This window comes from Homo sapiens, chromosome 8 (assembly GCF_000001405.40).
Source record: "Homo sapiens chromosome 8, GRCh38.p14 Primary Assembly".
Taxonomy (NCBI): domain Eukaryota; kingdom Metazoa; phylum Chordata; class Mammalia; order Primates; family Hominidae; genus Homo; species Homo sapiens.
This window is the reverse complement of record NC_000008.11, coordinates 86,374,012-86,393,242: the sequence shown is the minus strand read 5'-3', so window position 1 is coordinate 86,393,242 and position 19,231 is coordinate 86,374,012. Positions and strand designations below refer to the sequence as shown.

The window sequence follows — 19,231 nt, the reverse complement described above, 5'->3', positions numbered from 1 at the left end:
AGAGTGAGACCCTGTCTCAAAAAAATAAATAAATACAAATTAAAAAATAAAAAGGCTAATGATTAACTGAGAGAAAAAAATAAGAGCTCTTAGGAATTAGTGAGAAAAAAACTAAACAAACCAATAAAAAATGTACAAAGAGCATGAGACAATCATAAATGATGAAGTATGAATGACTAATAAACATCTGACCTTATTAATAATCAAAGAAATGCTTTGATAATAAAACTTCTCATTTTTTTATCTAATAATGTGGCAAATATTTACAAATGGGTGCTGTCATACGCTACGTTTGTGTATATAAATTAGTAGAACTTTTCAGAAAGGCAGCTGAACTTCCAGAAAACTTTTCATTCCCTTTTACCTCCCAGTAATTTCAATACAAAAAAATTTTCGAAAGAATAAAGAGGCACTTACATCATTGAATGTGAAAATACTGTTTATTCAAAGCTTTGACTTCAAAATATCTGAGTTTGTGTTGATAGTAAGTGAATTTATAAAACAAAATTTGTCTTAGTAAACTAAACAAATAACTAAATAAGCAAATTCACTCAGTTAATAAGGCTAAAGAGAATTATAAAATAAAACCAAATTTGACTATGCTCTGTCCAGTACCACAAATGATACATTTCTCTGCTGTATTTCCCCACCATTCAATATAAAGAGAGATTTATTCATTATAAATCATTTTGGACATAATTTACTTCGAATTGAACTTAATGGATTTCAAAATGCTTTCCTTGACAAAAACTAAGTTCTTGGTTCTATTAACACCATAAAAAATAAAATAAATAAAAAACCTCAGTCTAATTATCAGTATTTGAATGGCAGCCATCTCACTCCTCTCTGGAATATTTAAAGTGGTTCTCTCCGCCTCAAAATTGAAACACAAAGTGAAGTTCTGAATATACTCTAATGTGTATGTTAGCTATACTATTTCTATGGTTTTCACCTATGGGTATAGTGACAAAGATTCTCTCTTTAATCAAACTCTAGTCAGGGTCCTCAGGACCTTCTTGACTAGGCCTCAATCTTGGCCTAGAAAAACTGCAAACTCAGCACAAATGATTTCCTCCACAATCCCAGCACCACTACCACCATTGCACACACACTAAAAGACTTGAGCAAGCACCACCATAGTTCCTAACAGTTCAAGGCTCTTAGGGATAACCCTAACTCCCCTTAAAGCACCTGCCTGAGAAAACTTAAGGCTGCCAAAAGAATTTATTGTCTGTTGTAACCAACACCTGATGATAGGCCCCCGACTACTCTTTCTTAGAGCATTTACTAAAAACGGCTTACAATGGTAAATCCTTCCTCTGTCTCCTATAACATGTGAGTGTCTTTCTCAAGGGCCTGAAAGACATTCCTTTAAAATGCAATCATTGGGAAGGATAGGGCTTTTGTTTCCCTGTCTCTGTGGGAGGACAGAATCCTGACTTCGTTACTTGCCAGCTACCAAACACAAGGGCCTAATTGCATTTACACTGACCAAGCTTTTGTAATTTTTCATTTTCCTGACTCTACTGAGCCTCCATTGAACCCCCCACCCCCACTCCTTCATTCTCCTTTTAAAAGACCCAGTAACCTCTATACAAATCAAAGTTGAGTTCAGTTCATGCTGGAATCTCTTCCTTATTGCAAAAACATATTATTGATTAAAGTATGTTCTGACTACTCTAAACAGTGTCCAGCTTTGTTTATCTGTAACAATAGAGGGATTTTTTTTTTCCTATGTAGTTTAAGAAATAGTGAGGCTGACTGAGTGAAACATACCTCAGATATCAGTATCTCACACTGGTGACATAAGGGAAAGAAAGCTAAAAATACCACACATCTCCGCAGAGCCAAAAAATTATTTCCATAGTTTGGAATGTTGTTCAACTGACCTGAACACAGAACTGAAGTTTAACTGAGGCACAAATGATGGCTTAAATCCACAAACATTCTGAGACAATGTATTAGAGGATTAAAGGAGCAAAAGCTTTGGGAATAAACCAACTGGGCTTATACAAAACAGATGAAGGTTAAGGAGTGAAAGCTCACTAGGGCTTAAATGTGAAGAAGTGGAACAATCTCCCTAACAAGACGCAGTTAGTTGGATTCTGGGGAAAACAATACAAATAATTTATGTTAGGAGAGTCTGGGGGGTTTATTTATGTATATGTAAATAAGGTTTATTTATGGCTGTAATAACACATACCATCAAGGATGAAGAAATTAAAAAAAACTTCAAAAATAGAAAATATACCTATTCAAATAAATCACTCCCCCACCATTACCCCAAATATATCAGAAAAGATAGATGAAAAACCATGAAATATACGAGAAAACAATAGGGAGCCTTAACAAAGGAAGAAATTAGCCTTGTAAATCTGAAAAGGAACAAATGACCTCAATAACTGCAAAATCTATTCTGATATGGTAGACTATTGGGTTCCTACTATGGTAGAATGGGGGAGTGGTCAGAAACCACATATTCTTCTCCCTCTCCCTCCCGCTCCTCCTCCCTCCCCCTCTCCCTCCCCCTCTCCCGTCTCCCTCTCGTCTCCCACTTTCCACGGTCTCCCTCTGATGCTGAGCCGAGGCTGGACTGTGCTGCCGCCATCTCGGTTCACTGCAACCTCCCTGCCTGATTCTCCTGCCTCAGCCTGCCTAGTGCCTGGGATTGCAGGCGCCCGCTGCCACGCCTGACTGGTTTTTGTATTTTTTGGTGGAGACGGGGTTTCGCCGTGTTGGACGGGCTGGTCTCCAGCTCCTGACCGCGAGTGATCTGCCAGCCTGGGCCTCCCGAAGTGCCGGGATTGCAGACGGAGTCTCGCTCACTCAGTGCTCAATCTTGCCCAGGCTGGAGTGCAGTGGCGTGATCTCGGCTTGCTACAACCTCCACCTCCCAGCCGCCTGCCTTGGCCTCCCAAAGTGCCGAGATTGCAGCCTGTGCCCAGCCGCCACCCCGTCTGGGAAGTGAGGAGCGTCTCTGCCTGGCCGCCCGTCGTCTGGGATGTGAGGAGCCCCTCTGCCCGGCCGCCCAGTCTGGGAAGTGAGGAGCGCCTCTTCCTGGCCGCCATCCCGTCTAGGAAGTGAGGAGCGTGTCTGCCCGGCTGCCCATCGTCTGAGATGTGGGGAGCGCCTCTGCCCCGCCGCTCCGTCTGGGATGTGAGGAGTGCCTCTGCCCAGCTGCGACCCCGTCTGGGATCTGAGGAGTGTCTCTGCCAGACCGCCACCCCTTCTGGGAGGTGAGGAGCGTCTCTGCCGGGCTGCCCCGTCTGAGAAGTGAGGAGCCCCTCCGCCTGGCAGCCGCCCCGTCCGGGAAGTGAGGAGCGTCTCCGCCCGGCAGCCGCCCCGTCCAGGAGGTGGGGGGCAGCCCCCGCCCGGCCAGCCGCCCCATCTGGGAAGGAGGTGGGGGGCAGCCCCCACCCCGCCAGCCGCCCCATCTGGGAGGGAGGTGGGGGGCGGCCTCCGCCGGGCAGCCGCCCCATCCGGGAGGTGGGTGGGGGGGCGCCTCTGCCCGGCCGCCCCGTCTGGGAAGTGAGGAGCCCGTCTGCCTGGCCGCCACCCCGTCTGGGAGGTGTACCCAACAGCTCATTGAGAACGGGCCATGATGATGATGGGGGTTTTGTCGAATAGAAAAGGGGGAAATGTGGGGAAAAGAAAGAGAGATCAGATTGTTACGGTGTCTGTGTAGAAAGAAGTAGACATAAGAGACTCCATTTTGTTCTGTACTAAGAAAAATTCTTCTGCCTTGGGATGCTGTTAATCTATAACCTTACCCCCAACCTGGTGCTCTCTGAAACATGTGCTGTATCCACTCAGGGTTAAATGGATTAAGGGGGGTGCAAGATGTGCTTTGTTAAACAGATGCTTGAAGGCAGCATACTCGTTAAGAGTCATCACACTCCCTAATCTCAAGTACCCAGGGACACAAACACTGCGGAAGGCCGCAGGGTCCTCTGCCTAGGAAAACCACAGACCCTTGTTCACATGTTTATCTGCTGACCTTCCCTCCACTATTGTCCTATGACCCTGCCAAATCCCCCTCTCCGAGAAACACCCAAGAATGATCAATAAATACTAAAAAAAAAAAAAGAAACCACATATTCTTTATATGTTTTGTATGTCTCTTCCTAAAACTCAATAAATGTTTATTTAATGAAGAAAAGTCCCAGATCTAAGAAAGTAAGAAATACAATTTTAAGGGTTTCTAACTTTAAGCAAGTTATCAAAGCATATCAGAGGTAAAATATGCAACTTCTTGGAAGATGGGAAGCTTTGAACCAAACATATCAAAACAACAAAGTCATCTTTATTTCAAAAAGTCATAAATAAGAAAAGAGAAGTCTACTGGCTGTTAGCAAATGGGAATATAAAATTAAAAAGCAACTCAGGTCTGATTTAAAAGACTGCAGAAGTCAAAATAATAAATGCTTATGTTCTATGAAAAACTTTTAAAATCTTAGGCAAATAAAATAAGAATTATTGGCTAATATAATCTACCAAGATGTTTAAATAAATTAAGAACTATTATAAAAGAAATGATTTTGTGAAAACTAAAAATACAATGGAAAACATGAAAATTTCAAAGCAACATTGTAAGCAATAAAGAAATGAATGACTAACAGTATCAATCAAAACCAGAACACAGACCAAACAGATGACACAGTGAACTACCTAGAGGGAAAAAAAGGCAATATGATTAGATTATATCAAAAAGTGTGCCAGGGGAAACATAAAAGACAAATGGCAGCAAATCATAATGAAGGAGAAAACAAACACAGATTTCAAACTAACAATGAAGAAAATACTCAAGGAGCTTCCAGAATTGATCCTTACAAAAAAGACAACCTAGCCAAGCGTAGTGGCCTCAGAAGACTGTGGTGGGAGGATCGCTTGAGTCCAGGAGTTGGAGGCTACCGTACACTAGGATAGCACCTGTGAACAGCCACTGGCCTGGGCAACATTTAAAAAAGAAAAAAGGAAAAAAAAAACAGACAACCTGGTACCTACTGATGAAACTAAAACTCTACCTAAGAGAAATATAAAAGTAAGTAGGAAGGAAAGGAAAGTTGTTTAAAAAAAAAAAAAAGGCAGAGATAAATTCTGATTTTGCAATTCAAACACAAAAGAGTCTGATACTGCACTGACCAATACAGTAGCCAGCGGCCATGTATGGCTATTTAAATGTAAATTTAATTAAAATAAAACCAAGTTTAAAATTAAACACTTTAGTTCTACAAACCACATTTCAAATGCTCAACTGCCATACATGATGAAAGGCTACCATATTGGATAGCAGAGATACAGAATATAACCATCACTGCAGAAGTTCTGTTGGACAGCAGCCCTTACTGAATGATGCTTAAATGAAGCTAACTTTTCATTATGAAGATGGAAGAAAATTATATAAAAATATAAAACACCAGCTGGGTTGCAGTGGGTCATGCCTATAATCCCGGCACTTTCAGAGGCTGAGGCAGGCAGATCACTTGAGGTCAGGAGTTCGAGACCAGTCTGGCTAACATGGTGAAACCCCATCTCTACCAAAAAATACAAAAATGAGCCGCACATGGTGGTGCATGGTAGCACACGTCTGTAACCCCAGTTACTCAGGAGGCTGAGGTGGGAGAATTGCTTGAACCTAGGAGGCAAAGGCTGCAGTGAGCCGAGACTGCACCCCTGCACTCCAGCCTGGGTGACAGAGTGAGACTGTCTCAAGGAAAAAAATAATAATGATAAAATAAATAAATAAATAAATAAATATACATATATGAATGTGTCAGTAAAATTCAATGGCACTGGGATTATAAAAGAATATATTTTAAAAGATTAGAAATCAAGATTATGGTCAAGACAAGTGGTAATACAAAGTAGAATCCGTGTTATTATTCACAGGCTATTTTGGCACTCCCTTCTACCTTTTTCACAAGATTCTTGGTATTTTATCCTTTAAGTGGTTCTAATATAAATATCTTTCCAATAAAAGATAAATGCCTAATACACAGGACCACTGCTAATGGAAGAATGTGAAAATAAGGGTCATTTAATATATATATGGCAACCAATAAAAATAATTTAGGTTAAGAAAAAGTTGGACCACCTCTGCTTCAGTCTGATGGCATCCCACAAAATTTGTATGTTGAAACTTAATCACTACTATGATAGTATTAAAAATTAGGGTCTTTAGGAAGGGATTAAATCAAGAGGGCGCAGTCCTCACGGATGGAATTAGGGCCTTTATAAAAGGACTTGAGTGAGTGGGTGTGCCCTTTTCTGTCCCTTTTGCCATGTGAGGACAGTGTTCATCCCCTTCAGAGGATGCAGCAACAAGGTGCCATCTTGGAAACAGGAACTGGATCCTCTCCAAACTCGAACCTGCTGGCATCTTGATCTTGGACTTCCAGATCCTAGAACTGTGATGAATGTATTTATGTTCTCCATAAGTTACCTAGTCTCAGGTATTTTGTTACAGCAGAACAAATGCAGTAAGACAGTATCTACGGAAAAAATTGAATCCCTGTAACTGAATGATACTCAAAGTTTCTTCAGTTACAGTCATTACAACTAGTTTATATTTTCATTTGTGGAATTATTAATTATACCTCCACTCCATTCCAAAAAGAATTTTGGGCAAGTTTCAGTACATTTATGTTGAAAGGTAAGGATAGTTAAGTAAAAGTTACATTCTAATAGCACTTAGACAAAAATAATTGAGTATACCACAGGGCCTGCATCATTGTCAAGACACCCCGCCCCCCCACCCAAACACACACACAAAAGAAGAACGAGGAGGAAAGGAAGGGAGAGAACAGCCTGCTATATGAGTGGAACATAAAATGATAAAATGTGTACTCAGGCTAGGGTACAGCAACTGTACACAGACACAATGATAGTTCACTGCAGCCTTGAACTCTGGGCCTCAAGAGATCCTCTTGCCTCAGCCTTCTTAGTAGCTACCTTAGATATAATTTTTACACACTCTCCATAATAATTCCACCTATGTTAAAGAATGAAATATAAAAACACACTAAACAAATGTATAATTATTGAAAATACCAAGGACATGATTAGTGATAAGTTGCTTTCAGTACAGGAGACCCAGCAAAGCATACTCAGAAGATAATGAGAAGACTAGCTGAACACAGCAGTCAGGGTATGAAGATGTAAGCAGGAAATTAGACAAACTGAACTAAGACTCGGTAAGGCACTGAAACCAGGAGTTGAACTTGATCTTATAGAAAAGTGATTTTCAAACTGGTTTCAGGAGCAGGGTACCACCAGAAATTAACTCAGGAACTGCTGTGGATAACAAGAGTAAGGACATGTGAGCATGTGCATGGCTGTGTTGTTCAATACTGCTTTATGTTTTATATACAGTAAAATTTTTATATAGAATAAGATTCCATGGTAAGATTTCACTTGAATAAGCAAGTTTCTCTGTTAACATTTTTAAAAAATCTTTGGCTGTGGACTGTGGGAAGCACTGAAAAAAACACAAGTGAATAAGACAGTGTCTACTTTCAAGTTGGTCATTAATTCCACTTTGTTTGTGGTCTATAATTGTTATAAATGTTACCTCAGATTCCTACAATAACTTTCCCACTATCACTAAACCATGTCCTTTCATCCTTTAAAATTACCCTTGAGAGCCCCCACATATACTTCTGGTAACAGTCACCTGCTCCATATTGTAATCTGCCTTCAAGGACTTTTATCCTTTCTGCCATTCATTCACACCATAAACTTTTTTTAAAAAAATGTCTTGCCAGAAATCATACTGGAAGTTTTCATGCATGCTAGATCCCGGGTTCTTCCTGAAGAGCTAGATTGTCTTTCGCTGTTCTCTTCTTTCACTGCCTCAACACCTAAAAACTCAGCCTACTTTCTTTCCTCTCAGGAGATTCCTCTTTCACTACATCCCTTAAAAATCTATCCTCTGCAAATAGATGAGGAACACAGACACACTGCAGAACATCCCTCCACTGGAGCCTTATACACAAATATACACAATTCTATTCAAGGTGCTGACTATCAAACATTTTCTATATAGAGCACACCTCAGAAACATAATATCTCTATCAATAACCTTGCCCCTCAAATCAGAATTTAAGGATAGGAACAAAAAATGTTTTTAGTACTGAATATTTTTCTTCAACACTAGGATGTCATGTTTTTCTTGGGTTACTTATTTTGTTCTTGGCAGTTGTTTACTTTTTTTTTTTTTTGAGACAGTGTCTTACTCTGTCACCCAGACTTGAATGCAGTGGTATAATCTTGGCTCACTGCAACCACCACCTCCCAGGCTCAAGCGATCCTCCCACCTCAGCCTCCCAAGTAGTTGGGACTACAGGCACATGCCTGGCTAATTTTTTGTATCTTTGATAAAGCCTGGCTAATTTTTTGTATCTCTGGTAGAGATGGGGTTTCACCATGTTGCCCAGGCTGGTATCAAACTCCTGAGCTCAGGTGATCCACCTGCCTCAGCCTCCCACAGTGCCAGGATTACAGGTGTGAGCCACCACCCCTAGCCTGTTTACTTCTTTTTAAAGGTAAATATACAATAACCCCAAAATTTAAGTAGAGCTCATTCAACTGATAGCCAACTAAAACTCAGAGTCCAAGTACTAAACCAAGAGACTGAATCAAAGGCAACCAAGAATGCTATCATTTATAAAAGTATTTTTAAATTGCTTCAAGGCTGTCTTGAACCTTATTAATTTTATATTACTTCTAATCAAAATTAGGCAGCTAAGAATCAGAAAACTTATGTTTTAATCACAACCCGGAAATTACGTGTATACTCTTGACCAACTTACTTAAATTAAAATCTAATTTTAATTACTTTAAATTATTTTACTCATTTGTCTATAAAATGAACGACTAAAACTAATACCCATAAATGTCTTCTATTGTAAAAGGATTATGATACTATCATGAGATTTAATTCTTCAAATAAATTTATTTACCTTTTGTTTGGGGCTGAATTGTGTCCCCCACCAAATTCGTATGTTGAAGTTTTACTCCCCAGTACCTCAAAATGTGACGTTTTTAGAGACTCGATTTTTGAAGAGGTAATTAAGTTAAAATAATGTCATTGGGGTAGGCCCTAATCCAATGACTGGTGTCCTGATAAGGGGAAATTTGGACGCAGACACATATACAGAGGGAAGACCATGTGAAGATACAGGGAAAAGATGTCCATCTACAAGCCAAGAAGAGAGGCCTCACAATAAACCAACCCCACTGATATCTTAATCACCGACTTCCAGCCTCTGGATATGTGAGAAAATCAATTTCCATTAAGGCACCCAGTCTGTGGTATTTTGTTATGGCAGCCCTTGCAAACTAATTTACCGACTTCTTAGGTGTGCAGGATGCTACTAAAATTTCTGAAGCCATCTACTGACTGTATGAGTGTTTATTAAATTTTATTTTTCCTGAGCATATCCGTATCCTACTCAATTAAATCACAGAGATAATTTTTATATATTTATTTAGTTATTTTTTGAGAGGGAGTCTCGCTCTGTAGCCCAGGCTTGGAGTGCAGTGGCGCAATCTCAGTTCACTGCAACCTCCGTCTCCCAGTTCAAGCAATTCTCCTGCCTCAGCCTCCTGAGTAGCTGGGATTACAGGCACGTGCCACCACACTCAGCTAATTTTTGTATTTTTGGTAGACACAGGGTCTCACCATGTTGGCCAGGCTGGTCTCAAACTCTTGACCTCAGGTGATCCGCCTGCCTCAGCCTCCCAAAGTGGTGGGATTACAGGCATGAACCACTGCACACAGCCAAGGTAATTTTTAGCTTATACAATTCGTGAGGGCTTCATTTCGAAGTGTATTGACATTACAACCTTCCTAGAAGATCATTTGGCAGATAAGTGGATAGTTATCTTTATATGGAGGTTCAGTAGAGTCTAACATAACAGAATTGAAAACAATCTAGATGTCCAACAATGGGAATATGGTTAAATAATAATAATCCAGGCAAGGTACTGTATACTTATAAAATCTATTACTTCTTCCTGTATCAAGATGAATTGCATGACTCATTGAGAAAAAAAAAAATGCCATGGCATAGCAGAGAATCAAACTTACAATGCTTTAAGAAAAAGAAAAAGTTTTAAGCCAAATATATAAAAATTATTATGGTTTATACTAACTACTAATTACTAGTTCTAATTATTATAATCCATAATTATATTTTCTTAACTCATAACTCACTTATTTCCAAAAACTAGATCAAAACAGATCTTTAAGTTACATGTGGATTTGCAGAAAGAACCTTTTTAAAGATAACTTGCTATTTTCATCATCAGCATTTCATCCCTTACTTCATTCAGCAAACCTACTTTTAGGAATTAATAAGAGAATCTCTACAGAAATAAGAAGAGCAAAAATATTTACAGATTTGAGCAAGAGCCTATTTTTAGTGAACTGTTACAAGCTACTTAAGTGTCAGACAACGGGAAACTAAATAAATTGTGGTGTGAGAAATCATTACATGGTATTTAAAAATCATAAACTAGAACCCTGGTTTTTTGCGGGTTTGAGATGGAGTCTCACCCTGTCGCCCAGGCTGGGAGTGCAGTGGTGCAATCTTGGCTCACTGCAACCTCCACCTCCCGGGTTCAAGCGATTCTCCTGCCTCAGCCTCCCAAGTAGCTGGGACAACAGGCACATGCCACCACATTCAGCTAATTTTTGTACTTTTAGTAGAGGCGAGGTTTCACCATGTTGGTCAGACTGGTCTTGAACTTCTGATCTCAAGTGATCTGCCCACCCTGGCCTCCCAAAGTACTGGGATTACAGGCATGAGCCACCACCCCCAGCTAGAACCCTGGTTTTTAATATTCAGAGGATCACACATTTTGAGAATCTGATAAAAGCTATGAACCCTCTCCCCAGAATTACACATATATGTACATACCCCCATATTTTTGCATATGATAGGAGGTTTACAAATAATTAAACTCTAAACTACCTTAAAATCCCAGTCTAGAAAAAGTATCATGGAAACTTAATATTTATGGTATATTGTTAAATTTCTAGAAAGCAGAGGATAAACTAGTAGATGCAAAGCAAAAAAGAAATATGTTTGTGTCTATGAAAAACAAAAGGACAGTGACCAAATTATTAAGATTGGTTATCCTTGGATAGTAAAATTATAGAAAATTTTTATATTACTCTATAATTGTCTATCTTCTTCATGTTTTTTACAATAAACTAATTATATAATAATAAAAGAAAACTTAAGAGTTACAATTTATTTTACCCAAATAAAATTGTTAGTAGTCAAGTGACAAAATAGAGTAGGGTCATGTAATGATAATTTTCTCAAGTTTTAAAGAATATAATAATAAGCAAATAATAAATGACTGATAGTCACTGATAATAGGGTACTTGTGGATGACTGAGATTACCTTGTAAATCTGCAGAATGCAGAAAGGCCATGGTAAATATTTCCTATTTCATAAAATGCCACAAAGTTAATCAATCACAAGCAATAACTGAAGTTCTTTATGGATACAAAACTATGTTTTTGCTTTTAGGATTCAGGATATGTTCAAAGTGTCTAAAATAAACTTATAAGGAAATAAAGGTCAGAACAAAAAACTTACATTTTCTATTGTGTATCAACAGAGCTTGTTTCAAATCTATCGTTGCTTTTCCTAATAAAGCATCTGCTTTTAAAGTGCGATGGCTCCAAACTTGAAATTCCAATGTAGTCTGTGGCGTAACATTTCTGGAAGGGTAAAATTATTAACAAAAATACAGGAGTAGACGTTGTCATTCTATTAATAAGTAACAATTCCTATTAAAGCATTTATTTCAGTAATGTTTTAAAAACCGTGAATTTCATTTATTTGAGAAGAAATATTGTATGAAACAGGAAACTACTTGAATCATAAATAAAAATATTTTACTTTCAAATACATTAGGACTTTAATAACTAGATGAGGATTTTTGGAATCAGCAAGCCAAAACACCAACACAGGAGTCTTACTGAGACTTCATAGTAACACTGTTTGTATTTGAACAAATGTCTAAAGACTTACATGATACTTTTACTATACACAAATTTATGCCATTATTATTTTGAAATGCCAAAATTAAGAATGACTAATTTGCAGTCCTATTTATTTCTGTACCAAAACAGTCAGAGAAAATGGAAATAATTTGGTTTATAAAGCAAAAGCAAGCATTATTATGCATCCTCCCCTTAAAAAAAAAATTTAACCAAAAATTTCTCCATACTTTAAATTGTCGATCCACACTTTAAAAAAATCACTCATTACTTTGAAGTCATTTTACAAAACAAAAAACATATTCCAAAAAATACACTTTCTTGTGAAGATTTTCCGTCCTTTACACAAGGTACTTACACAGTTAGCTGTTCATCCCATTTTGGATTAGAAGAACTACTGGATTTTGCTGTTTTCGTAATTTCTCCATCTACAACTACTTCTGTATATATTGCTGTTCCGAACCAGTTCTTTTTTCTTTTAAGTTTGGCACTAGAAACTAACAGACAAATAATTCACTAGTGAGTATGTGTTGCCAAAAAGTAGTACTGCACACTAATCAATCAATAAGAATGGAATTGTGCTTCTTGTGCAACTAGAACTCTTCTCGTTGGCAGAATGAAGAAACAATACAAAAGGGCTACTGATAATGCTTGAGAGCCATTTGAATGTTTCTGTAACAGTTTTAGTGAGCTATCATTCACATATCATATAATTCACCCACTTAAACTGTACAATTCAATGGTTTCACTATATTCAGAGTGGCACAACCATCACCACAATCAATTTTAAAACAGTTTTGTTACCATAAAAATAAACTCCATACCATTAAGCAGTCACCCCCTTCTTTCTCCTCCCAATCAACCCTCTCCCCACCCCCATCCCTAGGCAGCCACTAACCTACTCTCTGTCTCTTTAAATTTGCCTATTCTGGACATTTCATATAGATGGAATCATATAATGTGGGTTTTTTTTGTGACTGGCTTCTTTCACTCAGCATTACATTTTTGAGGTTCATCCATATTGTAACATGCACCAGTACTCCACTCCTTTTCTTGCCAAATACCATTCTATTATATGGGTATATGACATTTTATCTATTAACTGATAAATATATGAACTGCTTCCACTTTGTGGCTATTGTGCATAAAGCTGTTATGAACATTTGTGCACAGGCTTTTTTGTGGACGTATGTTTTCATTTCTCTTGGGCATATACTTTGGAGTAGAACTCCTGGCTCATGTGATAACCCTCTGTTGAGTAACTGCCAGGCTATTTTCCAAAGTGGCTGCACCATTTTATATTCCTATCAACAATATACACTGATTTCTCCACATTCTCACCAACAACTGCATTAAAGATCAAGGGAAAAGTGTCTTCAGATTCAACATGCCCATTAACATCCCTGCCAGGTACTATTAACTTGTCTTTCTGAAATTACATAACTGTGGCACTTAAAAAAATGCTTTAATGTTTTATCTGGAAAGTTAGCTTCGAAAAGAAGTAGTATTTGCATTTTCAAATAAAAGCTTAAAAATCAAAATGTCATTATAAAAGTTAATCATAACCCCTTCCAGAAAGTGAAAATCTAATATACCTGAGATATGAAGAAATCAGGGACTATCTACTTTCTGGGCAAAATACTGATGAACAGGCAGTAAGAACAACTTATCAAGATCACCTCTATAATCAATTACCTGTGAACACCCTAGATCAGAGATGAGGAAGGGAAAAGCCTCTTTCATGTCATACACACCGGATGTTAAGGATATAAAAACAACCAAAGCTATGTAAGCTTCCATTCTATTGTGAGAGAATAATAATCTAAATAGTCACACAAATAAATCACTGAAATACAATGTGATAAATGCAAGATTCCAAGCAAATACTATATTTAAGTACCGGCAACATAGCAATTAAAGAGTGTTCAATGTTATGTCTGAACTGCTACTACCAGGGTCTTAGCAAAACTCATTTCCATCCTTCATCGTTCCAAACTGCTCTAAGTTCAGCGCCACTGGACTAATATAGAAGGCCCAGACTTGCTCTCTCCCAAGAAACTTCCCAAGATTCTTTGAATAAAAGTGCTCATATATTTCCTCAGTATATGTAAGTCTTATCCATATAGCAGAAGACTGGAAGAAGGAAAAGTCAGTATATGATGGTGTTAAAAGCAGAGGGATAGACATATCTGGGTTCATTTTTCAAATGTGCCACTTACTAAAAGCCTGACCACAGTAAGTCAATTAATTTCTCCATCCCTTACTTGAAAAATCAGAAGAACAGCAGTACCTGATTCTTAGGATTGGTGAGTGAAGGCATGCAAGGCACTATCACCATCAATGAATGTCTGGCATCCAACAATGGTAGCTGTTACTCTATTATTACTGACTATATAGTATTAACTCTTCTCTGAGTTCATTACAGATCCATCCAAAATACGTCCACTGAATACCCTTACTTGGCAAAATACTCAACAATACTAGAGGGTAAGGTAAGAAAAGAGATTTTTCAAAGATAATAATCTTTAATCTCATGAGGAATTTATAAATATGCTAGCAAAATGTACATATAAATAATGTGATTTTAAATAACTAGAAGACAACCTTATTAATTCAAAAAGTTGTTCTAGTTAGTAGAATATATAGATTTTTTTTCTCATTTAATGAGTTTCCTTTGGTGTTATACACAGAATGTCCTCCACTCTAAGGTTATATAAGTATTTTTAAACTATCAGAAAATGAGTCACCTGTGAGAGGGTAGGGAGAGTTAACTCAAAAATCCCACTCACAATAACATCCCTTCAAAAAATCTAGTAATAAACTTAAGAAATAAGTAAGAGTCACATGAAGAGAACTATAAAACTTTACCAATGGAAACAAAGGCTTAAAAAAAATGATATGATATATTCCTAGATTTGAAAAGTTTAACATTGAAATATTTCAATTAGCTCCAATTTAATACATTATTTTAAAATAAAAACACCAACTGATTGGTTTTGAGTGTTTTTGGTGGGGGCAGAGGAAAAGGAAGGGAGACTTAAATATTCAAATAAAAGCCAAAGAAAAATCAAGAACAGTAAACGTGTATTTTAAAATGCAAAGTAATAAAAGGAAATTTCTCAAAATATTTTTTTAAAAAGTACCATAAAGTGAAAATAATTAAAATGGTTTGACAGTGATGTAAAAGAGAAGTAAAGAGAAAAGCAAGATACTAATGCATAACAGTGGCATTTCAAATCAATGGGAAGATAGATGAGACCATAAATTTTGAAACATTTGAAAAGAATGAAGTCTATAATTCACACCACTCATACAAAAATAAGTGGTATATGATTTGACACTTTTACTTTAAAAAGTGAAAATGCTTTAGAAGACACAATAGCTAAAAAAAAATTATAAACATGAATACAACAGCCCATTTTTTCTTCAATCTCATCCTTTATACATCTTGCATACTCTATGCTTCTGACAGTTTCCTGTTGAAAGTCTAAAATCTAAAATATCGAAGATAATACACTTCTATATGCTACTATCCTTGAGTAGCTGGTACATTACAGTATATTACTATATGACAATAGGTAGTTTTCTGTTTGATTTTTTCCATCAGTTTTTCCGCGTTCCATGATCAATGCTCTTATTCTTACATGTTGCTGCCAATCAGATAAGGGTTAAGAACAGAAATGAGGATAAGAGTAAATATGCTAAAAATAAAAAAAAAAAATTGGCTTAGGGCAGAGAACCTCGGTTTACAGACAATAAACAGCCAGACTGCAATATTAGAGGGGTCTTAATCTGAGTACTTACTGTTTTTAAAAAGAAAAGAAAAGCCTGGGCGTGGTGGCTCAGCCTGTAATCCCAGCACTCTGGGAGGCCGAGGCAGGCGGATCACCTGTGGTCAGGAGTTCGAGACCAGCCTGGCCAACACGGTGAAACCCCGTATCTACTGAAAATACAAAAAAAAAAAAAAAAATTAGACAGGAATGCTGGCATGCACCTGTAATCTCAGCTATTTGGGAGGCTGATGCAGGAGAATCACTTGAACCCAGGAGGGGGAGGTTGCAGTGAGCCAAGATCACGCCACTGCACTCCAGCCTGGGCAACAGAGCAAGACTCCATTTCAAAAAAAAGAAAAAATCAATACAGAGGTCTTTGTAATCTAATAAAAGGAGCAACAACTTGGAGTCCTAAGACCTCAGTTGGTTTCTCATTATTAACCCAAGGCACTTAATCCCTCTGATTCTCAGTGTCCTCACTGACAAATCAGGAGTAGTAATCTTTATTGCAGAAGTTATTGTGAGATCAGTAAGACTGGTAATTTTAAGGTGACTTTTATTTTAAAAATTAGATCAACAAAACGGAAGACAAAGACAAGAAGAAAAGAAGGCACTAAAACCTGGTGCCATTTAGCACAGGTCCATGATCATTCTTTCCCAAAAGGATCACTGTATTTCAAAGGAGAGCAGCAACTGACGCTCAAAATGATAAATACTGTCATGGCATTGTTTTGGCTACTTAGACTGCCTTGGTCCACATCTATTTTCCAACTGGTTCTCCAGATTTGAGTCACCTGATAGTCTTTCAGTATGTTCTTTTTCACCTCAAATTAGCCAGATCAGGTTTTTCTTTTTCTTTTCTTTTTCTTTCTTTTTTTTTTGAGACAGAGCCTCACTTTATCCCCCAGGCTGGAATGCAGTGACGCCATCTCGGCTCACTGCAACCTCCACCTCCAGTGTTCAAGTGATTCTCATGCCTAAGCCTCCCAAGTAGCTGGGATTACAGGCATGTGCCACTATGCCCGGCTAATTTTTGTATTTTTAGTAGAGATGGGGTTTCACCATGTTGGCCAGGCCAGTCACAAACTCCTGGCCTCACGTGATCCACCTGCCTCGGCCTCCCAAAGTGCTGGGATTACAGGCATGAGCCACCGCGCCTGGCCTAGTTTTTTCTTATTTTACCTAAGAACTCTTATACATAGGTCAAGATCATTTGAAAGTTACACCTCAGGTGTACTGTCCATTGGTCCTACGCAAGTTACAATAAACTGAAAATGTAGTGAAAATAGGGCTCTAAGCTTCTTATACAGAGCAAAAGTAGAAGGAATTATGTAAGTGGTTCTTCAGTGGAGTACCTATCAGCTTCATCAGAACTGTTTCAAAAATAGATGCCCATTATTCACAGAAACCAAAATCCAAATATCCCTTATAGTTCAACCTTACAGTGAGAGAAATGCTATTTTAAATAACACTAAGATACCACTTCAGTGTCTAATTATGAACAATCCCAAAGCTTGACAACAGATTTTGGTTAGGCTTTGGGAAAACAGGCACTGTCATGTATAGCTGGTGTAGACACAAAATGGTGCAGACCCCATGGAGAGGAACTTGGCAATACCTGGCAAAATTACATGTGTCTACCCTTTGACCCAGCAATCTCATTCTAGGATCCTATCCTATTGATACATGAGCAGACATAAGAAACGACTTTTGTATGAAGTTATTTGTTGCAGCACTATTGGTAATAGCAAACAGTGGAACGCCAATGTCCAGCAAAAGGAGACTAGTTAGCTTTTTTACATCTATTCAACAGGATATGGCGCAATGATGAAAAAGAATATTCTGTTATGAAACAAACTCCAGAATAATACTGTAAAGTTAAAAAAAGCAAAGCACAGAGAAGTATGCAAGAATTAGGAGATTAAGAGGAGAGATGAGATACGTATACTGCACATGTATCTGCTTATATTTTCAAAAAGAAGCAACAGAAGGATAAAGCAAAACTAATAAAAATGTGAACCTACAGGGCAAGGGAGAGAAGTGGGAAAATGGGACCAAGTAGCCAGACCTCTCTAAATGTACCTTGGTTTTGACTCTGGGACTATGTAAATGTCTTACAAGGTTATAAAACAAAATTAAAAAAAAAACTGAAAACGATGAACTTAACTAATTATCAATTTGGTGATATAACCAAATAGAGAATTACTAAAGTACATTAAAACATGGTATTTTGATTATACGTCCTAAAGGGGGAAAACACACAAAGAAATCTTAAACTGCAATGAGTAGACCTATTGTTTTTGGTAATTTTTTAAATTACCTTTTTTTCACCTCCTTCTCCCTCTGTTTTTGGTAATTTTCATGTTATTTTGAACTGGTGTAGTAGGATAAAAACAGATATTATGATAATGTCATTTTGAATGGAGATTTTTTGATTAAGAGGAGAGAGTTACAGGCCAGGCACAGTGGCTCAATTTGGGAGGGTGGTGCAAAAGGATTGCTTGAAACAAAGAGTTCAAGACCAGCGTGGGCAACATAGTGAGACCCTGTCTCTAAAAAAATTTTTTTTTAAATTAGCCAGGCAAGGTGTTGAACATCTGCAGTCCCAACTACTTGGGAGGCTGAAGCACGAGGATCACTTCAGCCCAGTAGTTTGAGGCTACAAGGAGGTATGTTTGCGCCACCGTACTCCAGCCAGGGAGAGAAAGTGAGACCCTATCTCAAAAGAAAAAAAAAGATATGAATATAAAGTCAAATTAATTTAAATTTTGTTTCCTTTTAGTAGAAAATGGTACTTATAGACTACAGTTATTATTATGAATTGGAAATATCAGCATGAACTCAGGATGTTAAAATATTTTTTATTTTTTGCTTTCTACAAGAAACATTTCCTAGCTCTGTTAACTGAAACCTCCTAGAAATAACTAAATTCATATAATGAGTACCATGGGAATTACAGTACTGTGTAATCCCACTTAAATATTTGCCCAATGATTGAACAAATGGCTAAATGTATGTAAGAAGGCCTTTGGCATCCTGCTCCATCCTATTAATCATTTAAGGGCCAATGCAATGATACTTATTCAAAAGCCCAAATTCTCCCACCATTACAGAGGCTATATCTTCTCTTCATCCAGCATAGGTTCAATAAATATTTACTGAATAAATAATATAGTTTTGGAGGGCATCTACCTTTGAGGCTTGTTGCAACAAATATGCCATAGTATGAATCTAAAAGAAATTCTATTTCTGGAATAAGTCTGCTGAATTAGGTATTCAAAAGAAAAGTTCATCAGGGAATCACCATATTAAATATAAAAATAACTTACCAGTTACCTGTAACTGCAACCTTCCACTGTGGTTATTACTAGTATCAGACCTTGGTGAAGCAGTGGCCATGTCCCAAAATTCAGCTAAAACCTATTTTAAAAAAGGGGA

At 37.7% G+C, this 19,231-nt stretch overlaps 1 protein-coding gene across 10 annotated transcripts in view; it reads right to left on the bottom strand.

Annotated features, from left to right (window-relative positions):
- The window catches only part of WWP1 (WW domain containing E3 ubiquitin protein ligase 1), a 125,957-nt gene that overhangs the window by 75,261 nt on the left and 31,465 nt on the right, over positions 1–19,231 (bottom strand). For 9 of the 10 annotated variants that reach the window (NM_007013.4, XM_024447056.2, XM_005250761.5 and 6 more), the window contains 3 exons: positions 19,123–19,213; positions 12,379–12,517; positions 11,614–11,738 (listed from right to left, as the gene is read on the bottom strand). In NM_007013.4, coding sequence (NP_008944.1) covers positions 11,614–11,738; positions 12,379–12,517; positions 19,123–19,192 — 334 coding nt within the window. In that variant the 5' untranslated portion in view covers positions 19,193–19,213. Of the gene's footprint in view, positions 1–11,613; positions 11,739–12,378; positions 12,518–19,122; positions 19,214–19,231 lie in introns of those variants that run through there. The other variant, XM_047421284.1, reaches the window with a different exon arrangement.